This window comes from Homo sapiens, chromosome 10, assembly GCF_000001405.40.
Source record: "Homo sapiens chromosome 10, GRCh38.p14 Primary Assembly".
Lineage (NCBI taxonomy): Eukaryota > Metazoa > Chordata > Mammalia > Primates > Hominidae > Homo > Homo sapiens.
The window spans coordinates 96,482,803-96,504,320 of NC_000010.11; the positions used below are offsets into that span (position 1 = coordinate 96,482,803).

At 46.2% G+C, this 21,518-nt stretch overlaps 1 protein-coding gene across 1 annotated transcript in view, besides 2 other annotated features; it reads right to left on the bottom strand.

Moving 5' to 3' along the window:
- Window positions 1-21,518, bottom strand: part of TLL2 (tolloid like 2) — a 149,319-nt gene that overhangs the window by 118,195 nt on the left and 9,606 nt on the right. The gene's annotated exons all lie outside the window — the stretch shown is intronic.
- Window positions 4,034-4,533: an enhancer, noted in NCBI's record as "H3K4me1 hESC enhancer chr10:98246593-98247092 (GRCh37/hg19 assembly coordinates)". NCBI's record gives its function as "activates a minimal SCP1, AML or CMV promoter by ChIP-STARR-seq in naive H9 embryonic stem cells {active_cell/tissue: H9 hESC(naive)}" and the evidence as "EXISTENCE:reporter gene assay evidence [ECO:0000049][PMID:30033119]".
- Window positions 19,926-20,426: an enhancer, noted in NCBI's record as "H3K27ac hESC enhancer chr10:98262485-98262985 (GRCh37/hg19 assembly coordinates)". NCBI's record gives its function as "activates a minimal SCP1, AML or CMV promoter by ChIP-STARR-seq in naive H9 embryonic stem cells {active_cell/tissue: H9 hESC(naive)}" and the evidence as "EXISTENCE:reporter gene assay evidence [ECO:0000049][PMID:30033119]".

Genomic DNA, 21,518 nt, shown 5'->3' on the forward strand with positions numbered 1-21,518 from the left:
ACACAGCATGTAAATTATACTCAAGATGTCTGTTAAAGAAAAAAAATTCAACCTTGTAGCAAGAACCAACCAAGATGGTACCTGGTAAATCCTTTCAGTTGAGAAAGAATTGTTCAGATAAAGAAAACTAAGAATGTGTTTCTCTCGCAGAAGCTTCATAAGTGCAAGGTAGCAATAATTAAGTCTGGAGAGAGATAGACATGTTTAGAAAATAACTGTATGTGGCTATGGCACACACAGCTGAACCAAACAGATAAGAAGATGATTAATGTTGTAGAAAAGCGTAGGACCAAAAAAAGTCATTAGCATGGCCTATAAGAGGCTGCTAATGTTTGACACTTAAAATGACACAAAATGACCCTTGGGCCTCCATCCTTGTATGGGAAAGAAACAGGCTGAAAAAGCTGCCCCCATGAAGGGCATATTCTCTGATGCCCTCTCCAGATGTGGCTAAGAATAAGGGAAAAGGAAGGGCAGGACCTCCCAGAGTGTGGAGCTCAAAGCCACACAGGGAAAATGAATGGAGAGCTACTGGCAGGAGGTGGCATCAGGGCCTCATGAAGGAACGTTCCCCATCCTAGGCGCCTCTTGCAACATGTGTCCAGCCTGATTTCAGAACTGTTATGGATCAGTGACTGTTGTGCCTCCCAGTCTTCCTCTTTCCAAATGGAAGTGTTTGTTATGGTTATCCTGTCCCTTATCTATCATGGTATATTGAGTATGTATTTTGGTGGTGGGGTGGGGAAGTATATGATTGTTTTAAAGTTCACTAGTCTTTGGATGAAGAGGAGTCACATCCTGACTTAGTATAGAGATGATCACAAGATCTTGGACTTGGAGCCTGGTACCATGACTGGACAGGACTTTGGGGAAAGGTAAGTATGTTGTATATACGGGAGGAGAAGGAAAGCAAGTATTTGTTACAAGAGGGGAGGAGGCCTGTGACAGAGTCTATTATTGTTCATCATTTTTGCTGCTTCTCCTGGGTACAAATTATACTTCCCCCTCTCTCAGATGTCAGGCTTCACCATGTGATTTATTTTATTTATTTATTCTTTGAGATGGAGTCTCTCTCTGTTGCCCAGGCTGGAGTGCAGTGGCACGATCTCAGCTCACTGTAATCTCTGCCTCCCAGATTCAAGCGATTCTCGTTCCTCTACCTCCCATGTAGCTGGGATTACAGGCATGCGCCACCATGCTGGCTAATATTTTTGTATTTTTAGTAGAGATGGGGTTTCACCATGTTGGCCAGGCTGGTCTGTAACTCCTGACCTCAAGTCATCCTCCTGCCTCGGCCTCCCAAAGTGCTGGGATTATAGGCATGAGCCACTTCGCCTGGCCCACCATGATTTTTTTCTGGCTAATGAAAGTGAGGGGAAGTGACATGTGTCACTTCCAAGCAGAACCTGTAAGACCCAGCACATGGTTTGCCATGTTCTCTTTTCCCAAAGCCATAAGACAAAGGATATTCCGGAAACAGCCCGCTCTATCAGGCTGAGACATAGAGTGAAGATGATATGATCCAGGCTGAACATGTAACATGAGACAAAAACTTCTGTGGTTATAAAGCATGGATACTTAAGGATTATTTATTCCTGTATCATAATCTAGATTATAATGATTGACACATACAGCCTTTGCAAAATGATCTGTATTCATATTCTGGCTTTGGCAACCTCGCACATATTACTCAACCTCACTGAGCCACAAATGATTCATCTATAGAGATAATATTGCCTATTCTGGAAACCTGTTGAGAAAATTAAATGAGATCATGTACACATAAGTACACACACACACACACACACACACACACACACACACACACCATGGCTTTCTTTTTTTTCTTCAATAGATATAATCTTTCTTCAGTAGATGCAATCTATTGAAGGAAGAAAAATAAAATTTATGGAGCAATGAAGAACCAAGCCCTGTACTCGACACATAGATGCTTTCCCTGCAGAGATCAAATATAATTTGAAATTTGAAACCCAAGTAATCCATCCAAGCTGTCCATATTACAAAATCTATAAACTGCCTCATGCTTCTCCCTGTTCTTGGCACATAGTAGGCGATTTCCCCACAGAGGTCAAATATAGCTTTCGAAACTTTGAAACCCATGTCATCCATCCACGCTGTCCATATTGTGAAATCTATGAATTGAGACTCATGCTCCTCACAGCATTCATTTTTATATTTCTAGGTCGGAGTTTCCCAGATCTCCATCTCCCTTTTTTATTTAGCCACAAGCCACCAGAGGCTTTTAAAAGAAACAAATGTGCAAAAGAATAAAGTTGAATTCCTACTTCAAGCCATATACAAAATTTAACTCCAAGTGAATCAATGACCTAAATGTAGGAGCTAAAACCAAAAAACTATTAGGAGGAAACATCAGCATAAATCTTCATTATCTTGATTTGGCAATGGCGTAGATATAACATCAAAAGCATGAGCAACAAAAGAAAAAATAAATAAATTAGATTTAATCAAATTTATAAATTTTTGTGCATTGTGACATTATCAGAAAAGGAGGACATTATCAAGAAAGTGAAAAGACAAATTACAGAATGGGAGAAAATTTGTGCAAGTCATATATCTTATAAGAGCCTAGAATCCAGAATATAAAATGAACTCTTACAATTCAACAACAAAAAGGCAACCCAATTAAAACTAAGCAAAGGATTTGAAAAAACACATCTGTAAGGAAAAGATATAAATGGCCAACACATGAAAAGATGCTCAAAAGCATCAGTCATTAGGGAAATGCAAATCAAAACCACAATGAAGTACCACTTCACAGCCATTTGGATGGCTAGAATAAAAAATTAGAAAATAAAAAGTGTTGACTGAATACAATAACTGTCTCTCAATTTAAAGCTTTTCTTGGGGACCCAAACTTTGTACAAGGAAGTCTATCTGACAATTCCTTGAAATCTGACTGTCATCTAGAACTCCCTTGAAATGTGTGACAAGGTTGGTTTGGTCAAAGATGGTTTCCGGCTGCCTGCGCTGAGCCCTTCGGTTTCCCACTTCCCTGAAGATTTGGCACAAGACAGTCCACGGTGCAGCGCCATTTTTCCCCCAAAGAAAAAGTGTCCGATGTCAATTATGGCAATGGCAATGGCAGGCAATCAGGAATACTTCTCAAACATTCTAAGAGAAGAAAGAGAGAAGCAGGGGGTGGGAGAAGGGAACAGATGAACGGGCACTGGGAAAACCACCCAAGCCAAGGAAGTTACATAGTGGTCTTCCAACTTCTGTGCTCACATGTTCCTGAATCATTTTGAAAAGCTACATATCCCTTTGTTAGCCTGACACTTCAGATTTTTCACGATAAGTTTAAATACTTATTTTGCTCATGAAAAGAAAATAATAAGTATTTTATAAGACGAGGATTGACTATACGTGGAATAAATGTTTCATGATATGGTTTGGTAAAATAGGTTTAACTACCTTTTGGAATAGCATGCTGAAACCAAAAGAAAACAAGAAAAATGTTCATCCTGGGTTTTATCCATATAGTTTGAAAAATTTAGAGGTCCAGGGAGCATTCTAGTTATACTTAAGAGAATCACTATCATTAACTACCCTACTTCAGTTGTTCTGAAATCAAAATATTCCTCCCTGCCCCAAGCATTTCCCTTAATAGAAATTCCTATAGATGAGAAGAGACAGAAGAGCTGCAGGTCTAAGACACTCTGGCTCCTCATCGAAGAAGGCTGCTCTATAACCAACCATTTCTCATTTTTCCTTTGACACTCGGGGGTTTTGTACACAGTGGGATTCCAGATGGGTGACAGGTAAGCCTCTCTCCCATGAAGTGCAGGAAGGGCCACGTGCCCAGCATCCTCCTGCTGTCTTAGTATAGAATCCCAGATGCATGCTTCAGAACCTGGAAGTTCACTCCCTTGAACCATCTGTAGAGAGCACCCCTGGGAAGTCCAATGCCCCTGCACACCACAGTTTGAAGGCGGAGCATGGCAGAGGGGCCAAGCAGGGCAGAGCAGCGGGGGCCGCTCTGCAGCAGCCCCTTCCCAAAGTCACAGGGCTGCTGGGAAACTCCTCCCACACTGTCCCCTGGGCCTGCTCAGCTGGCTTCGTCTCCATCTCCTCATGTCCAGTGCTCAGGCGTCCTCCTGACACCAAAGGGTGGGAGCCCCAGGCTGATTCCCTTGCAGGGAAATCCTTTACGAAGGCACTTTCTGCCTGCAGTCTTCGTATTGTTCACCTGGGGAGGCAGGCTCATTAAAAGCATGTACTTTTAAGCCAGAAAGACCTGGGTTCCAATCCCAGTGCCATCACTGAAGAGCTGTGTGACCTCGGGTAACTCACTTGGTCTCTCTGAGCCATGGTTTCCTCATCTGGAAATAGAGGTGCCTACCTGGTAGAAGTGTGTGAGAATTAAACAACATGAGGTCTGTTAAGCAGCCAGTGCCAGGCCTGGCCTGTGGCAAGCATGCAGTGAAGAGTGGTACCTCTCCAACCTCCACTTTGCTCCTCCTGGTTCCTGTCTCTCTCCCTCCCCCACCTGTCCTCATCCAGAAGACCCCACCCTGCAAAACTCAACTCAGCTTCCATCACCACTATTTGCCCTCCCACCCCGACACACTCTTTCCTTTCTCTGTATTCCTTTAGGACAAATGGTCTCAACCAGACAATATTAACCAGACAGCGGGGGCTAAATCATGCTGCTATACTCATCTAACACTTACTGAGGCAGCACACGCCAGGCATTGGCAGGGGTAGGGGTGGGGGTTGAAGTAGGTGGAGTTGGGGGAGGGAGAGGAGATCATGTTCTCTGTAATGCTTTACAGTTAACACTGGATTGTACACAGGCATCGCTTCTTTTAGTTTTTGCATCAACGCATATTGGTCTCGTTCCACTTTTACCGATTAAGAACCTGAGACTCAGAAAAGAGAATGACTCGCCTGGGGTCACAGGGCCAGCAAGCAGCAGAGCCAGAACCCCCAAGCCAGGGTTCTTCCCAGTCCCGCAGCGGCTTCCTAAGCTCTTAGCATCTACTCAACTTCCCAGATTGTGCCAGAGTCTAAACGCCATGACAACAGGCTCCCATGTACATTTCACTTGTGAAATCCCATTTTATACTCGCCAAGGAAAGTCATCACACGGTGCAGTATGGGCCCAGTGGCTGACGGTGAAGGAACCGAATCAGATAGCCCCCAGCTCACGTCCTGCCTGGGAAGCCTTGGACAAATAACTTTACCTCTCTAAGCCTCAGTTTCTTCATCTTCCAAGTGTGAATAAAGAGTCATAATATCTTCCACATGGGGTTGTTGCGAGCATCAGCTGAGATAATGCGGATCCATGCTCAGCACAGAACTGGCACCAGGCCCCACTCAGCAAATATGAGATGGAGGAGCTGCACCCTGCAGGCACTGAGGTCACCGGCCATGGCCCACATCAGTGTGATGTGTAGTGAGCTAAGAGACGTTTTTACAGGTTTGATCCCTTTGGGAGGCACTGACTTAGCGCTTGCGTGCCCAGCCCAGGGCAGCCCTTACCGACAACAGCTGCAAGAGGGCATGGCCTGGCCCTTCCGCAGCACCTGCGGGAAGCCCCCATGGTGTGGGACTGGATCCTAGCCCACCTCAAGGCCCAGAGAGCCCCTTCCCACGCCAGCCCGGGCTCCCACACTGCGGTCCTGCAGACTCTTCCCTTGTGTTCTACAGATCTTGCCCCAGGATCCCATGGACAGTTCCTGTGGATCAAAGACAGTCCAAGAAGGCCACGTGCCCTTCACTCAGAGGGGACACAGCCCATAGCATGAGTCAGCGCTGCCCCTTAGGCTCACAGATACAGCCTTCAAGCAAGAGTGGCTGCACCCCAGAACACAGGTCCAGAATGTCAGCTGGAGTCTCCAAGCCACCACCGCCTTCCATAGACAGCAGCATGTTCTGCAGGGGGTCTGAGTGATTCATTCAAGGTCACATAGTGAGTCATTTGGCAGAGTGAAGACTCAAGTCCAGGACCACTCATAACAATGGTGTCTGAACCAGCAGGGCCCACATGTATCTGGGAGCCAAGGATGGAAACCCCTGCGTGGAAGGAAGAAGAAACTGCCCTTGATACTCTAAATAAACCAAAGGCTGCTGTGGGAACCTAGACTCCTGACACAATGCGTTCTTCATAGCAGAGGTCCTTCCATTACATGAAATGTGTGTCTTCAGAGAGAAGAGCAGGGCACTAAGGGGTAAGTTCAAAACCAACATAGCCCAGGAACAGCAAAGAGCGCTGTGACTAATTGTGATGTGTGCCATGGGCATGAGTGCATAGGGCAACCCTCATGGCACACATTTGCCATCCTTGCCTTCCTCATTAAGAAGGAAATCAGGGTAATGCTGCTGCAGGAGAGAAACCAGGAGTTTGGTATCAAAGCAGCTGCTCTCCTAGATAACCTAAAAGAATAAACTGAAGTGATCCCAAGCCAGGTGCAGTGGCTCACCTGTAATCCCAGCACTTTGGGAGGCCAAGGTGGGAACATCACCTGAGCACGGGAGTTTGAGACCAGCCTGGGCAACAACGTGAGACCCCTGTCTCTACCAAAAAATCAAAACATTAGCTGGGCATGGTGGCACACACCAGTGGCCCCAGGTACATGGGAGGCTGAGGCAGGAGGATCACTTGAATCCGGGAGGTTGAGGCTGCAGTGAGCCATGATGGTGTCAGTCCACTCCAGCCTGGGCAACAGAGCAAAACCTTGTCGAAAGAAAGAAGAAAGAGAGAGAGAGAGAAAGAAAGAAAGCGATCCCATCAACATGGTACCCGCTAACCACATGTGGTTATTGGGCACTGAAATGTGATTATATGATTGAGGAACTGAATTTTACATTTTATTTCCTTTTAATTAATTTAAGTTTAAATTGCCACATGTGGCTAGCTATATATAAGCATAACATAAATAATACAAATTGTAAATGATACAATACAAACAACTATATGTTACTTATAAAATAAAATAATGTAAAAATTCTATTCAAAATAACATATCTCAGCCGGGTGCAGTGGCTCACGCCTGTAATCCTAGCACTTTGGGAGGCCAAGGCAGGTGGATTACGTGAGGTCAGGAGTTCGAGACCAGCCTGGCCAACATGGTGACACCTGTCTCTACTAAAAATACAAAAATTAGCCAGGCGTGGTTGTGCGCGCCTGTAGTCCCAGCTACTTGGGAGGCTGAGGCAGGAGAATCACTTGAACCCAGGAGGTGGAGGTTACAGTGACCTGAGATTTGCACCACTGCACTCCAGCCTGGGTGACAGAGTGAGACTCTGTCTCAAAAAAAAATAAAAACAATTGGAAAAAAATTAAAATAATATAGCTAGGAACAACCTTGATGACAAAAATGTGTTACTAAGTCAGGAAATGTAAAATTCTACTAAAAGCTATAAAAAGTGACTGACGAGACATGTTTCTGGTAAGAAAGACTATAGTAAAGAACCGTTAACTCTTTCCAAATGAATGTGTGCGTTTAATACACTTCAATCAAAATCCCAATTTTTTTTATTACTGGCAAGATGATATTAATGTTAATCTGCACAATCAGGTGAGAACAGCGGAGAAAAAGAGTACCAAAGGAGGACTGGCTTCATTAGACAGCCTGCAATGTAGAATCGTTTGAAAGCAGCCCTTAGGTTTTATCTAAGAAAACTTACATAGGATAAAACAGGTCTTGCACATTTGTGAAAAGTAGGGAACTAAGCAATGAATGACGTTGAAGCAAATGGGTTAGCTATTTGAGGAAAAGTCAGTTGGCTTTGAACCTTATACTATACACCAAAATTAATTTCAAATAAATAAAAAATTAAATCAACAAGTGGACTGAACTATACTTAGAAGCAAATGAGTTATGTCTATGGATTCGACACACAAAGCTATTGAATTCTTACTGAAAGGCAAAGAGAAGACTTTCAAAGTATTCCCATCACCTCTTCCACTACCAATCCCAGCTATTCAAGGTGTAATCCATAGACCAGCAGCATCAACATTATCTTGGAGCTCAACAGAAATACAGAATTTCAGAGCCCACCTCAGACCTGCTCAGTCAAAATCTGCATGTTAACAACATCCCTCAAGGAAATCGGGTGCACCCTGGAGTTTGAGAAGCACTGACCGAAGGCACCAGGGACTCTGTTTCCAACTATGACCCTGGGGTCATGGGCTCCCCTCCACCTCTCTGTGTTCGACATGGCTGTAGTGAAGAGGGTAGGCAGGGCAATTCCTCACAGAGATGTAGAGCTTGAACATATGGGCCGCAGGAAGCATTTAAAATGCACATCCGGCTGGGCGCGGTGGCTTTCGCCTATAATCCTAGAACTTTGGGAGGCTGGGGCAGGCGGATCGCCTGAGGTTAGGAGTTCAAGACCAGCCTGGCCAAAACGGTGAAACCCCATCTCTACTAAAAATACAAAAAATTAGCTGGGCGTGGTGGCGGGCATCTGTAATCCTGGCTACTCGGGAGGCTGAGGCAGGAAAATCGCTTGAATCCAGGAGGCGGAGGTTGCAGTGAGCTGAGATTGCACCATTGCACTCTAGCCTGAGCAACAAGAGCAAAACTCTGTCTCAAAAAAAAAAAAAAAAGAAAAGAAAAGAAAAGAAAAAAAGCACATCCACGAAAATGCCCTCAGCTCCAGTCTTGACTGACCCCACTAGACCTTCAACCTGCAACTGAGGGACTCATCACCAGGTGGTAGTGTTTCCTTATGAAGCTCTGGCTAGTAAATGTTTCAGGAATAGATTATGAAGTGCAATAGGAAAAATGTTTTTTGGAAATCAAAAATTGAAATCTTTATAAATTAGTCAAATACAGTTTTAAAGCTGTTATGTAATAAATTTGGAAATGTAAAAGGTCTAGCTTTAAAGACACGCTTTCTAATGATATCTAATCCGTCAGTGGTGTGCTGCTATTTAACAATTGGCTGGGGTAGGGGAGAGCCTTGGTTTGTGGTGTTTGCTGATTTCCCTGTGTAAATGCTCCCACTGTGGCTGATTTCAGGTCACTGAACATGGAGTTGGGAAAAGATGTGCACAGTTGGGCGTCGCAAGGAGGTAACAGCCAGCTCCGGGCCACTGCAGTAATGACAGTAAGTACCTGTAAAGTACCTCACAGTTTCTGAAGTTCTGTTATGTTCCCCATCTGATGCCATGTGTGTGCCTGATTTTGGGGGCTGCAAAAGATAACCATGATCTGAGCCTTGCAGGGCAAGGCTCATCTCTGCAGCTCCCACCCAGGATTTGCACAGCACAGATCTTGCCCTGGCTATCTTTTCTCCATTGACAGCAGAAGCAAGCAGCACTCACTGTGTCCCTGGGACCAGGCCGAATGCCCTCTACATATTACCACAATCCGTCCTCTCACCAGTTTCAAGAGGAGGCCATTTTGTCCCCTTTCTATAGAAGGGAGAGGAAAAAAAAAAAAAAGGCCATGAGGGAGGTAGGAATTGGCCAAGGTCATGCAGGCAGGAAGAAGCTGCACAGGTTTTCTGAGTCAATACAAGTCTCTCTAATTCCAAAATCAGATCCCTGCTAGGCGCCGTGGCTCACGCCTCTAATCCCAGCACTTTGGGAGGCCGAGGTGGGTGGGTCACCTGAGGTCAGGGGTTTGAGACCAGCCTGACCAACATGGTGAAAACCCGTCTCTACTAAAAATACTAAAATTAGCTGGGCATGGTGGCGGGCACCTGTAATCCCAGCTATTCGGGAGGCTGAGGCAGTAAAATTGCTTGAACCCAGGAGGCAGAGGTTGCAGTGAGCCAAGATCGCTCCAATGCACTCCAGCCTGGGCAACAAGAGCAAAACTCCGTCTTAAACAAACAAACAAAAATCAGATCTCTTATCCAATTCTCCCCAAAGTTCCACATTCTAAAAGTTACTAAGAAATGCTGTTAAACCACCTTCTTTACCGCAGGACTTCCCAGACCCTTTACAATTCTAACAAATATCACGGCTCTCCAAGAGAAAGACTGGGAATGCGGCATTTCCCAACATAGTTGCTTCTGAGATCTCCTTTCACTGGGTCTCCTGACCTAAGGAACACATTTTGGAGACTGTTGCACTGCTCCACAGTCCTCCAGGAATGACAAACTTCTAGGACTTGAAGGGGCCATACAGGTCACTGGGTCCAACACTCTATCCAGAGACAGGGAGCTCACGCCCTTCCATCACGTCCCCATTGATCTTTGAACACCAATCTCTATTTCTTCCAAATCTGGTGTTTTAGATCTCCTCTCAGGACCAGTGCACTGAAGAGAAAGGGACTGATGGTTCTGCAGCACCCACACCGTGCAGGCTCCTCTCGCTCCTCTAGCCCTCAGGACAGCAAACCCGTGCAATGTGCATCATCATACCCAGTGTCAGGTGAGGACTGTAGGCACAGAGAGATTTAGGCAACTTCCTCCAGGCCCCCTCTCAATTCTAACTCTTAACTGCCATGCGTCTTTGGCTCCCTTTGTAAGATGGAAGCATGGAGAGGAGGAATGACTAACTTACAGCCTTGGAAATGTAGAATCAGGAAAGCCTCACAAAGGGGATGAGTGGGAGGATGATGAGTGAGCTGCAGTTTGGCAGGTGGATAACAAGAGGAAAGGGCATGCTGGCTAAAGGGACAGCATGTGCAAAGGCCCTGGGGTGAGAAAGAGCAAGGCACTGTCAGGGCAGGAGCAGGAGGGGTGCAGTGAGGGCAAGCCAGCTGGAGTGGGGGGCCCAGCCATGCGGACTGCTGTAGACAGTGAGGGTAAGGCAGGACAGGAGGCCAGGGGATCTGAGAGGCTCAGCATGGGCAAAAAGGGAGGCTGAGAATTGGGGAACGGGATCCTGAGGCTGTTAGAGCACCCAGGGTGGAGAGGGTAATCAGGAGTCCCTCATTCTGGTATAGCACTTTACAGTATGCTACCCCTTCCATGCACACATCCTCCTCTCCTGCAAACACCCCCCACACCCAAAACACCAGCATCCAGCGCAGGGCCTGGCACTGACCTTCAGAACATTCTCATCCCCGAATCCGTGAGTGAACAAATACCTCCTTGCAGAAGGCCTAGAAGAAGGCAGGAAGGCCACCAGCCCAATCTTATGGGGGAAAGTGAGACTTCAGAAAGTTAACGACTAGCCCAAGTTGACAATCCGTAAGAAGGGGACAGGGCTTGAACTCAGACCTTTTGGCTCCAAGACTCAGAGCTCGGTTCACTGCCCTGCACAGGATGCTGGTCCCAGCATTGGGATTCAAGGTGAGGACTGACCTCAGGGTCAGCAGGAAGTGCTCTGCCAACAGAGGAGCCACCAGCCTGGCCAGCCGGGGACAGCCCGGGCGGCTGCTTTCAAGGGACAGAGTGCAGGAGGGGTTGGGCCTGGAGGAGTCCTCACACCCCTCCGCACTGAAGATTCCAAGAGTCTGGTGGGGGGATTTTAGGGGTGGTGAACGGCCCCTGAGTTGGGGTCTGCAGAGCTGGGGAGACTTCGAGCCAGGCAGCAGCCAGCCAGTCAGAGGGAGACCCCTCCACTCCGCTGCCACCTCCTATCACCAACTGCACTATCCCCAAGACTCTGTTCCCTGGCTCTCAGAGAATGGCAGGCCCAGGGCAGCCCCCTGACCTTCCTGGTCCATCCTGGCCATATGCCCTGCCCTGCCCCAGGGCTTGCTCCAAACCAACAAACACCCGGGTTTTATCCGAGGAGAGTGGCCTGCAGGCCCACCTTACCTCATCTCACCTTCATCAACCAGGACACTTCCTGATTTTCATTTCTACACTTAGACCTCAGGGCTACACTAAGGCATGGTTTATTGTTCAGTCAGCTTCCTACCCGTGGACCTAATCACAAATATTCTGCAGTGGCTCTGTATCTTGGGACATGAAGCATGGTCTACACGGGGGAAGAGACGAGGTCTGCATCTCCACAGTCTGTACTGGAAGCTGTGTGCTTCCCCTTTGAAGCGTTTTCTTCTCTCACACAATGAGACAGCTGAACCAGCTCAGTGTTTCTGGAGGCATGGCCCACAAACCACTTACATCAGAAGTGTCAAAGGAGAGTGTTGACATGCGGATCCCCAGGCCCCAACCCAGATCTATGAAATCAGAATCTCTGAAGTCAGCACCCAGGAATACGCACTTTAATTCATGCCCTGCCCCACCCACTCAGGTGACTCACATGGACACTGCAGTTTGGAAACCAATGGAGTCCATGGTCACTGACCTTACGTTTGATTTCACTACATTTTCTTTTAGAGAAACATAGGGTATTTGCTTGGGGCCTGCTGTTTGTCCACTCCAATAACAAGCCACTCCAATAACTTCCTCACTCAGGAAGTGAGGAAGACTTCATAGATGTTCCATAAGATAGTCACCTAGAGATAAGCCCAGGTTATTGGAGGAACTAAATATGTAGAATTCAAACCATTGGAATTCCTCTCAGGAAACAGGCTGAGGTGGGGTGGAGGGGCCAGAGGCGGGGAGCGTTACAGGGAAATCCTACCCACAGATGCATTTAGTTCATTGCAAGTTTCCAGCGGAGGGATTTAACAGGTTTAAAGCAGTTTTCTGTGAATCTTTGTCAAGGGAGTGTATGTACAAACAAACAGGGAGGGTTTTTTTAGTAAAAAGTTAATCGGCTTAAAGTGTGCAACTAAATAAGCAAAGCTTACATTAAAGTGACCCACAGAGAAAGGACCCCTAGAAAGAAAGTTCTAGGAAATACAATATGGCCTCTATGTTCTTTTGTAGTTCCACGCTATAAATATTCATGGGATGGTGTTAATGGGGTCTACAGCTCTATGCAACCACAATAGTTTTTTTGTTTATTCTCAGGACCATGAACTTTGAAACCATGACCCTAAATTTCAGGACTCTGCATTCAGGCGCGTTTGCAGAACAGGAGGGGAGAGGTTCGGGCTCTTGGAGGAGAGGAAACAGGCGAGATGTGAATCACGCCTCCTGGATCTTTTGGTTGAGATTAAAGGGTAGGGTCTGTTTAGTATGAGAAGCCTCCTGTCTCCAGGGTCCCCAGCTGCTCCTGCCTGGGGAGATGGCCTTCTCCAGGAATAGATGGCTCAGTTGCTCAAGCATACGGCAGAGAGGAGTGGAGAGATGTAAATGTTTTAATGGGATCAAACAGATTTGGTGCAAGTTTTACATTGAAGACTTGGAAAACTTTAAAACTGAAGAATTTCTAAGACAGAGAATTTGAAAGTCATCTAAGCAATGTCCTTGTTTTCCATATGAGGAAACTGGGGTCCAAGAAGGTCAAATGACTTGCTTAAAATATTGCATCTAGAAGCCATGTCTGGGACTCCCAACCATGGGCTTTTCCTACACCAGAAAAGGCAAATAAGAGACAAGCATGTGCCTCCCCTTACCCACTCTTGCTCAGGATAGATATTCCTAATTGATCACAGCTCTCCTGTCCATTGAGCCTGGACACAGTCTCTGAATCCATCTCAACACAGTGTTACAGAGGGTCAACAGAAATGGACAGAAATGGTGCATGAGTTGAGACCTATTTGCCACCTATGCCCTACAGCATGCTGGTAACATTCATAATCCATTACCCATTTGTTCCAGCTAAGGGTTTTCCATTTTCTAACTCTCCATGTTAAAGGTCAGTCAGGACCTAGGAGAGCGCCCTACACAGCTAGGTCCTCCACAGCCGCTCTGAAAGCTGACTGCTTCTCAAGAGAACACACAGCCCTGCCCTCTGCCTTGGCTGGCATCATCCTACTTGACAGATGAGCCAAGGGGGTCTGGCTGGTACCTGGGCTGGCGACCACCTTGCTTAAAGCAGATACAGTCTCCTGCCTCGCCTCCTCATCTATATCATAATATGGTTGCATCAATACATTACAGAAATGTCACAGCTTGGCTTTCCCAGCAGGGCTCAGTTGAATCAACAAACACACCTGCTCAGCTAATTTCCAAAAAAGAAAAATTAGCCACAAGATTGGTTTGGGCAGGCCGGCCATATCTGCAAGGCTGTTTAAGTTTTACAGCTCCAAATAGGTTTCATCTCACATGCCACCCCACTCAATGGGTGGTGCTTCTTTGAGCACTGTAAGGTGACTTCTTGGACCCATAGGAAAGAGAGCCACGATCAATTAGTAATATCTGCCATTAGCAGGAGGTGTGGAGTGGGGAGGGGGTTGCCTGTGCCACACATTTGCCATTCACATATTACATTGTAAGGATACTAAAAATGGCCGGGTGCAGTGGCTCATGCCTGTAATCCCAGCACTTTGGGAGGCCAAGGCCAGTGGATCACTTGAGATCAGGAGTTTAAAACTAGCCTGGGAAACATAGCGAAACCCTGTCTCTGCTAAAAAAAAAAAAAATACAAAAATTAGCCCAGCGTTGTGGTGCACGCCTGTAATCCCAGCTACTCGGGAAGCTGAGGCAGGAGAATTGCTTGAACCTGTGAGGCAGAGGTTGCAGTAAGCTAAGATCGCACTCCAGTCTGGGCAACAGAATGAGACTCTGTCTCAAAAAACAAAAACAAAACAAAACAACAGCAACAACAAAAAAATACAGATACTAAAAATATTTCAGTCCAGGTAATAGCTGGGGCAAGGCCTGAACTACGACTAACGTTATACTTTGTACACTTATTCTTCACCCTCTCCACTCTGCTCTGTGTCCAGGAAGCGTGCTTCTGTGGACGGCATCCTCCAGTTTCCCCTCGGGTTTCCTCCAGCTTCTGGTTGCTTTCAACCAGGAAGAGATCTTGGCAGACCCTAGGGAAGAGGAGAGAGGCTGTGCATTTCTTCCCTGCTAGATGCTACAGGTCTAGCCATAGACACATCCCTCCGCAACTTCCCCTCCTACCCAGTTCCAGCTCCAGTAGCACTGCTCCCTCCCCTGCCCCTCACCACAGGGATAATGGGCTCATCTCTGTGTGTCTCACCTCTCCTGTTTGTTCCCTTAACCCTGCATCTCTAATTGGCCCCTTCGTGAAGGTCTCTTCATCTGAAACATCTGGGATAAATTTTGTTTCCTGCTGGGACTCTGACTTATAGAGCTTTGCTAAGAAAATCTTTCCATTATTTCCATAGCCAAATAGGAAGATGGGATTCTGGCTGGTAATAGGGATGACTACTTTGGCCTATGCCAACACCTTTCACTGCTTAATTGGGCAGAATATGACTTACTGCTATCTCATGCCTGCTGCGTTCCCACAGCATGAGCTCACACGGGCTCCATTAGGTAATGGAGAGAGGATGCAGTTTAGGTCCTAATAACCCAAAGCTTCTTGGGCTCTAATTTTACATCTTATGTGCTTGATTTGAGGACCAGGCACATCTCATAAGCCCTAATAGCTTCACTGTGAAATGATCTTTTGCAGAGCCATAAGTTGCAATTTAATTATGCAGGACTCATTCTGAAGACAATGGCCATGGGAGACCCTAAGTCGCAGAGGATGGAAAGACACGCTAGGCGGAGAGGGAAGGAGGACTGGGATCCACCTACGGCCATGCCAAGAGCTATTCAGATGGCCTTGGACAAGTTACTGCCCCTCCCAGGCCTTCAGGGTTCTCACGGGAAATATTAAAAGCTTAGAATAAATAATCCTTAAGATTCCTTCCAGCTTTAACATTCTAGAAGATTTGACTCAAAGATCTTGCTTGGTGTAGCTGGATAACTTTCAGTCATGGTAGTGGGCCTGTTGCCATTTTGACTACATTTTCCTCATAAAGGTCCAGCCAGTTTAGCTTATTGTGGCAGAGATTGCTCATTGTCCACCAATACTTCTCTCCCTTCTTCCATTTTAAGAGAACCCCTGATTTTTAGCTCCAGGTCCTCCAAAATAAAGCTTTTCCAGACTCCCAAATAGCTGTCTGTGGCCAAGTGACTAAGTTCTGTCCAATGAGATGAAGCACAAGTGACAAATGGCAGCTCCCAAGAAGCTGGTTCTCACACATTCTTTGTCTCTTTTACTTTTCCACCCCTTCCATATCCAAACCATGCCCGTGATGATTTGAGCTCTGCATACCGTCTTGACCATGAGGACAAGGACCTCAACTGAGGGAGAGTGGAGTGGCAGACTGGAAGGAGCTTGGATCTTAGATCTTGAAGGACTTTCTGAAGCAGAACTGCCATATCAGCCCAGAATGGAGACCTCCAGATTTTGATGTGAGAAAAAAATAGACTTCTAGCTTGTTTAAGCCAATGTCTGAGATACCAATATATTGCCTCTTGGCTCCAAATCTATCCTTCTTTGTCTTGCTTTGTGACACTGGAACTGGACCCTGTAAACATTGCTCCTTCACCACTTGACACCATGTTAGGCTTTATCAGTAAAAGACATTGGAAGGATACCGCAAATAGAAGAGGGGATTGCTCTTCCTGGTTCCAGTGGTCTCACCTTGCACCCATGGGAAGGGCTGCCAGCAGTGTTCAGGAAAACCACTGGCACCAACCCTCCAGAGTTTTGCCAATTTCCACTGGGTAATTCCCTGCTGGTCAGTATCTCAGTGAACTCCCCAGTTCCAGTGGGCCATAGCCACTCTCTCTTAAGAAGTCAGAATTTCAGCCCGGGATGGGTGGAGGTGGGGGTGGCTTCCTCCTTCCCTAGTAGTTGCTCCTTGCATCTGCTATTTTTGTTTTCTTTAGTGTTCCCTTTACCTCTTTTGGTAGTCAACCCCCTTTTCCTAGTTGATAATTATATTACATTTTCTAATTACTGTTCAAATTACTGGTGTGGTTTCAGTCTCCTAACTGGACCCTGATGGACACAGCAAATTAACTTGGGTCTGTTACTAGCAGTTTAACTTAATCTGAACTGATACAACCATACAAACATCTCTATGGGAAAGTCAATGATATGGTGCAGAATGAGCCCTCTGCTTTTTAAAAATCCTCTCTCCAAAAATTTGTTTGTGGCAAATATGACAGAAAAATAATGAAAGTCCTTAATTTAGTAGGAAAAGGGTTCCCACTAAATGTTTTTAACAATTCTCTAATTAGAAAAATGAGCAGGAACAGAAGAAAAGGTGCATGAATAGGAATCTCAATTAGCAGAAGAAATACAAACAATCAAAAACGTATTTTAAAAGGGTCAAAATTACTGAAAAAAATACAAATTACAATACAAGTGCAAGTTGAAGAAATAGAAAAATACTTTTCTCCAACCAGCAACGGTTTTTTAAAACTAGAATATAAACTATTAATCCTAATGGGAGTGTAAAGGTATAAAAATCTTTTAGCTGGGTACGATGCCTCACACCTGTAATCCCAGCACTTTGGGAGGCTGAAGTAGGTAAGTCACTTGAGCCCAGGAGTTTGAGACCAGCCTGGCCAACATGATTTAAAAAAAAAAAAAAAAAGAAAAAGAAAAAAAAATCTCTACCAAAAAAAAAAAAAAAATACAAAAATTAGCCCGGTGTTGTGGTGCACACCTATAGTCCCAGCTACTCAGTAGGCCAAGGTGGGAGGATCACTTGAGCCCTAGAGTTCAAGGCTGCAGTGAGCTGTGATTGCGCCACTGCACTTTAGCCTGGGTGACAGTGAGACCCTGTCTCAAAACACAAAAACAAAAAACAAACAAAAAAAACTTTTGAAGGGTTGTTTGAAAAGGAGAATCAGAAGGCCTAAACGCATTGGTACTTTTGACCCAGCAATTCTACTTCTAGAAATTTATTCTAAAGAGATAACTCACGATGTATATAAACATCTAGCTACAGAGATGATTCCAGCATCATTGTTTATAAAAGCAAAACAAAAAGATTGAGGTTCATGCCTGTAATCCCAGCACATTGGGAGGCCAAGGCGGGTGGATCACCTGAGGTCAGGAGCTCGGGACCAGCCTAGGCAAAATGGCGAAACCCTGTCTCTACGACACATACAAAAATTAGGTGGTGCATGTGCCTATAGTCCCAGGTACTCAGGAGGTTAAGTGGGAGGATCACCTGAGCCCGGGAGGCGGAGGCTGCAGTGAGTAGTAGTTGTGCCATTGCACTCCAGTCTGGGTGACAAAGCAAGATAAGGAAGGAAGGAAGGGAGGGAGGGACGGAGGGAGGGAGGGAGGGGAGAGATTGAGAAAAAAATCTGTATGTCCAACAATAGGAGATTGCTTAAATAAATTATGGTGCATCTATACAACAGTGTATAAAGCAACTTAAATTGGTTTTGTATAAGAATGTTTATTACATAAGCATCTTTATTGTCATAGAGAGAGGTTCATGGTACTAAGTGAAATTCAAACAGAAGCAGGTTCAAGCCAGTAGGTACAGCATTTTCAGGAGAAGAAAAATGTTGCAAACATGCCTAGAAAAGGTGTGGGAATATCATACAACAGAATGTTCACAACAATTACTTCTAGGCAATGGGATTACTGGACATTTTTACTTCTACTTGCTGTATGCATTTTCTAAATGTTTTCCAGTGGATGGGAATTAGCTGTGTAGTTAAGGAAAACATTTCATGTTAAACCATTATCTCCCTTTCCACCACCTCAAGGGCACCCCAGTGCCTGCTGAATATGTTTGAGTGAACTCATACATGTTTCAACCACGACCTTGGGGTACATCTCAGCTCCGGACCCCTCCCACCCACAGAGCCACTATCTCTTCCCACTTTCCCTCCCTTCCCATTCTCAAGGCCATAGCCTGCATCCTCATGCTCCAGGACTCGAACTCTGAGAGGTCCTCCTGCTTCCTGCTTCTACAGATCCTAAGCATCACAGGTCTTCACTGTAACAGTCCTCTGCTGAGAAACTATCAATAGCTCCCCATTTCCTTAGGGATATGTTTCAAATGTTTCAGCTTGACTTCCACTGTTCCAAGCTTATTTCAATCCTGTCATTACCATTCTGCAAAGTAAACCAGAGTAAATCTCCAACTCCAGACACATCACAAACATTCCTCACCTTTGCTGACACTGTTCATTCTACCTGAAATACCTTCTCTTGCATCCCAGCATCTGCAAATCCAAGGCATCCTTCCAGACCCGCCTCAGAGCTTACCAACTCCCTCACCAGGAAGTCTTCCTTGAGTTGACTGCTACCCTTTCTGAATCCCTCTGGTATCTCATTGACTGAGTTTTCCATTTGACAAATACCGGTTGGGCACCCACCATGTGCTGGCACTATGCTCCTGACTGTGAAGCAAAATCAGTCTCGTTTATACTCCTTGGAGCTCATTGTCCAATGCAGAGACAGTCATTGAACAATAATACTCACATCAGTAATAGACCCAGTTACAGATTGTAAAGAGTGCTTTTCAGAAAAACAAAGGCGATGAGAAACTTGAAAGGGGACCTGATTGAGACTGGGGACTGGGAAGGCCTCATGGGGGAAATGACATGTAAGCTGAGTCCTGGAGGATGAGTCAGAGTTGACCACACATAGAGTCCAGAGACATTTCCAGGCAGGAAGAAGAACCGATGTGAGCTGGAACCTGGCAGGTAAGGGGAGGGAGGCTGAGTCATAGGGACAAGCAATGACCAGAGCACCCCGGGGCCTGCTGATTGCTCTTATCCCAAGTGCAATGGGGTGACATTAAAGGATCCTAAGCAGGTCTGATCTTGCAAACGTGATCACACATGAGTTTGAGAAAGATCACTCTGCAATGTGGAAAACAGATTTTGGGAGGCAAGAGTAGCGTCAAGGAGGCCAGTTCAGCCACTACTGCAGCAGCCCAGGTGTGAGCTTGGACCAGTGGCAGTGGGGATGGAGAGAAGTGGACGGGCTCAATTTGGAAACAGAATTGACAGCACTTGTGTTGGGCGGGGTGAGAAGAAGAGGGAAGTCAGGTGTCCAGGTAGCAACTGGGTTTCTGGTTTAGGGACCTGGGTGGACTCTGGTACCAGTGTGGTATCTGCACCCATGAGGCCCAGTCCTTAGTGAGCCAAGGAGGACAGGACAGGAAACCAGCCCTGACTCCACAGGGAGGAGAGGCGACCCTGCGACCTGAAAAAGAGTTAAGAAGGAAGGTAGCTTGAGGCTGTTGCTGTGGGAAGCCAGCTTACAGGACTCACATCGACTCCAGGCCAGTAACCTGGGTGGGAGGCAGGGAAAGAGGCTGGGTGCAAATTGCAGGATGAGACAGAAGATAAGTGGCCCAGCTGGCAGAGCAGGCAAAGACTCAGGGCTGAACATCTCCACTCAAGTGCTCATGCGGGCGAGCTTGAGAATATTTATTGGTAATTGGCAGAAGTGGTTAGAGGTGGCGTGATCACAGATAGGTCTGTAACCAATCAGCAGGAAAGCTCTGTTCCTGTTGCTATGTTTGCATCCAGGCAGAACCGTATTATGAGCAGGCTGAGAGGGTACCATGAGAAACCTGCTTCTACACATTTGGTTTATGTGTCATCCTCTCCCTGCTTCATGGGTGAGAGCAAGTGAGCTGTGGAGCAATAAATTATCACTTGCCACATGCTATGTATCCCAGGAGAACTCTTAGCAGCCCTGAGAGGGAGAGATTAGCATTCACAGGCCAGTGAGGTTGTTACTTATAAGGAAATTCTAAAATAGGGAATAATACTATGAGTAATAATAATAATAGCAAGCAGAAGAGCCAGCAGTTAATGACTGCTTGCTAAACACTTCGTGTTCACTGCCTCATTTAATCCTCAAACAAGATTATATGATGGGTTTCAATATCGTTATTTTCCAAATGAGGAAACTGAGGCTCAAAGAGATTAAGAGACTTGGTCAAAACTACACAGGAAATAAGGGGGGCAGAGGCAGGTTTAAAGCCATGGGCTGCGTGATACCAAAAAGAATCTCTACAACAGGATGCTCACTGCTTCTGCTCTTTATCAGCCAAGCCTCCTTGGGAAAGATTGGCCATCGAAGTCTTCTCCCTGTGGAGGTGAGGAGAGTGGTTGGACCCATCACCCTCAACTGACCTGATACCCATGCACTGACCCTGGGCCTTCTGGAAGAGGGGTAGAGGAACAGAGACGGGGACAGGTGCATTTTGACACCTGGTATTATTCATTTATTCTTCCCTATGCTTTAGGACAGAGTACTTGGAAAGCCAGAATTCTCTCGTCCTTGTCAGATTCCTAGACAAGGATAAAGAAAAAGATAGGGAGACGGTCATGGGCTTTGGTGCTCAGGGAACATATACACAAATGTGACCTTCAGACTGGGCAGCATGGAGAAGCTCGTTCACTGGGGGTGGAGGCAGCCAGGCAAAGCTGGAGGCCCCAGGGTTGAAGAGGTCACATGGCGTAGAGGGGAAAACAGGGATTAGAGGTCTCAATGTCGTGTGCAGGTCTTAGCCCAGGCTCTCCCCTATGCAAGCAACCTGACCATGGCCTGTAATGCCCCTGAGATCATGTGAGCCCAGGCCATCTCCTGCGAGTGCTCCCATCAACTCCTAGGGGTTGGGAGAAGCCACCAGCTGAATGGAGGCTCAGGCCCAAAGCCACTTATATGTCTCCAAATAGCCAGGGGCTGGTTTCTTCGGTAGGGCTCAGACATCTGGTTGGCTTGCAGGGAACCAAATGCCTTAGCCTAATGCCATCCTCAGTGAGGCCACTGAGATTCATGGAAGATTTAAGTTTTAGGTCAAAGTCTC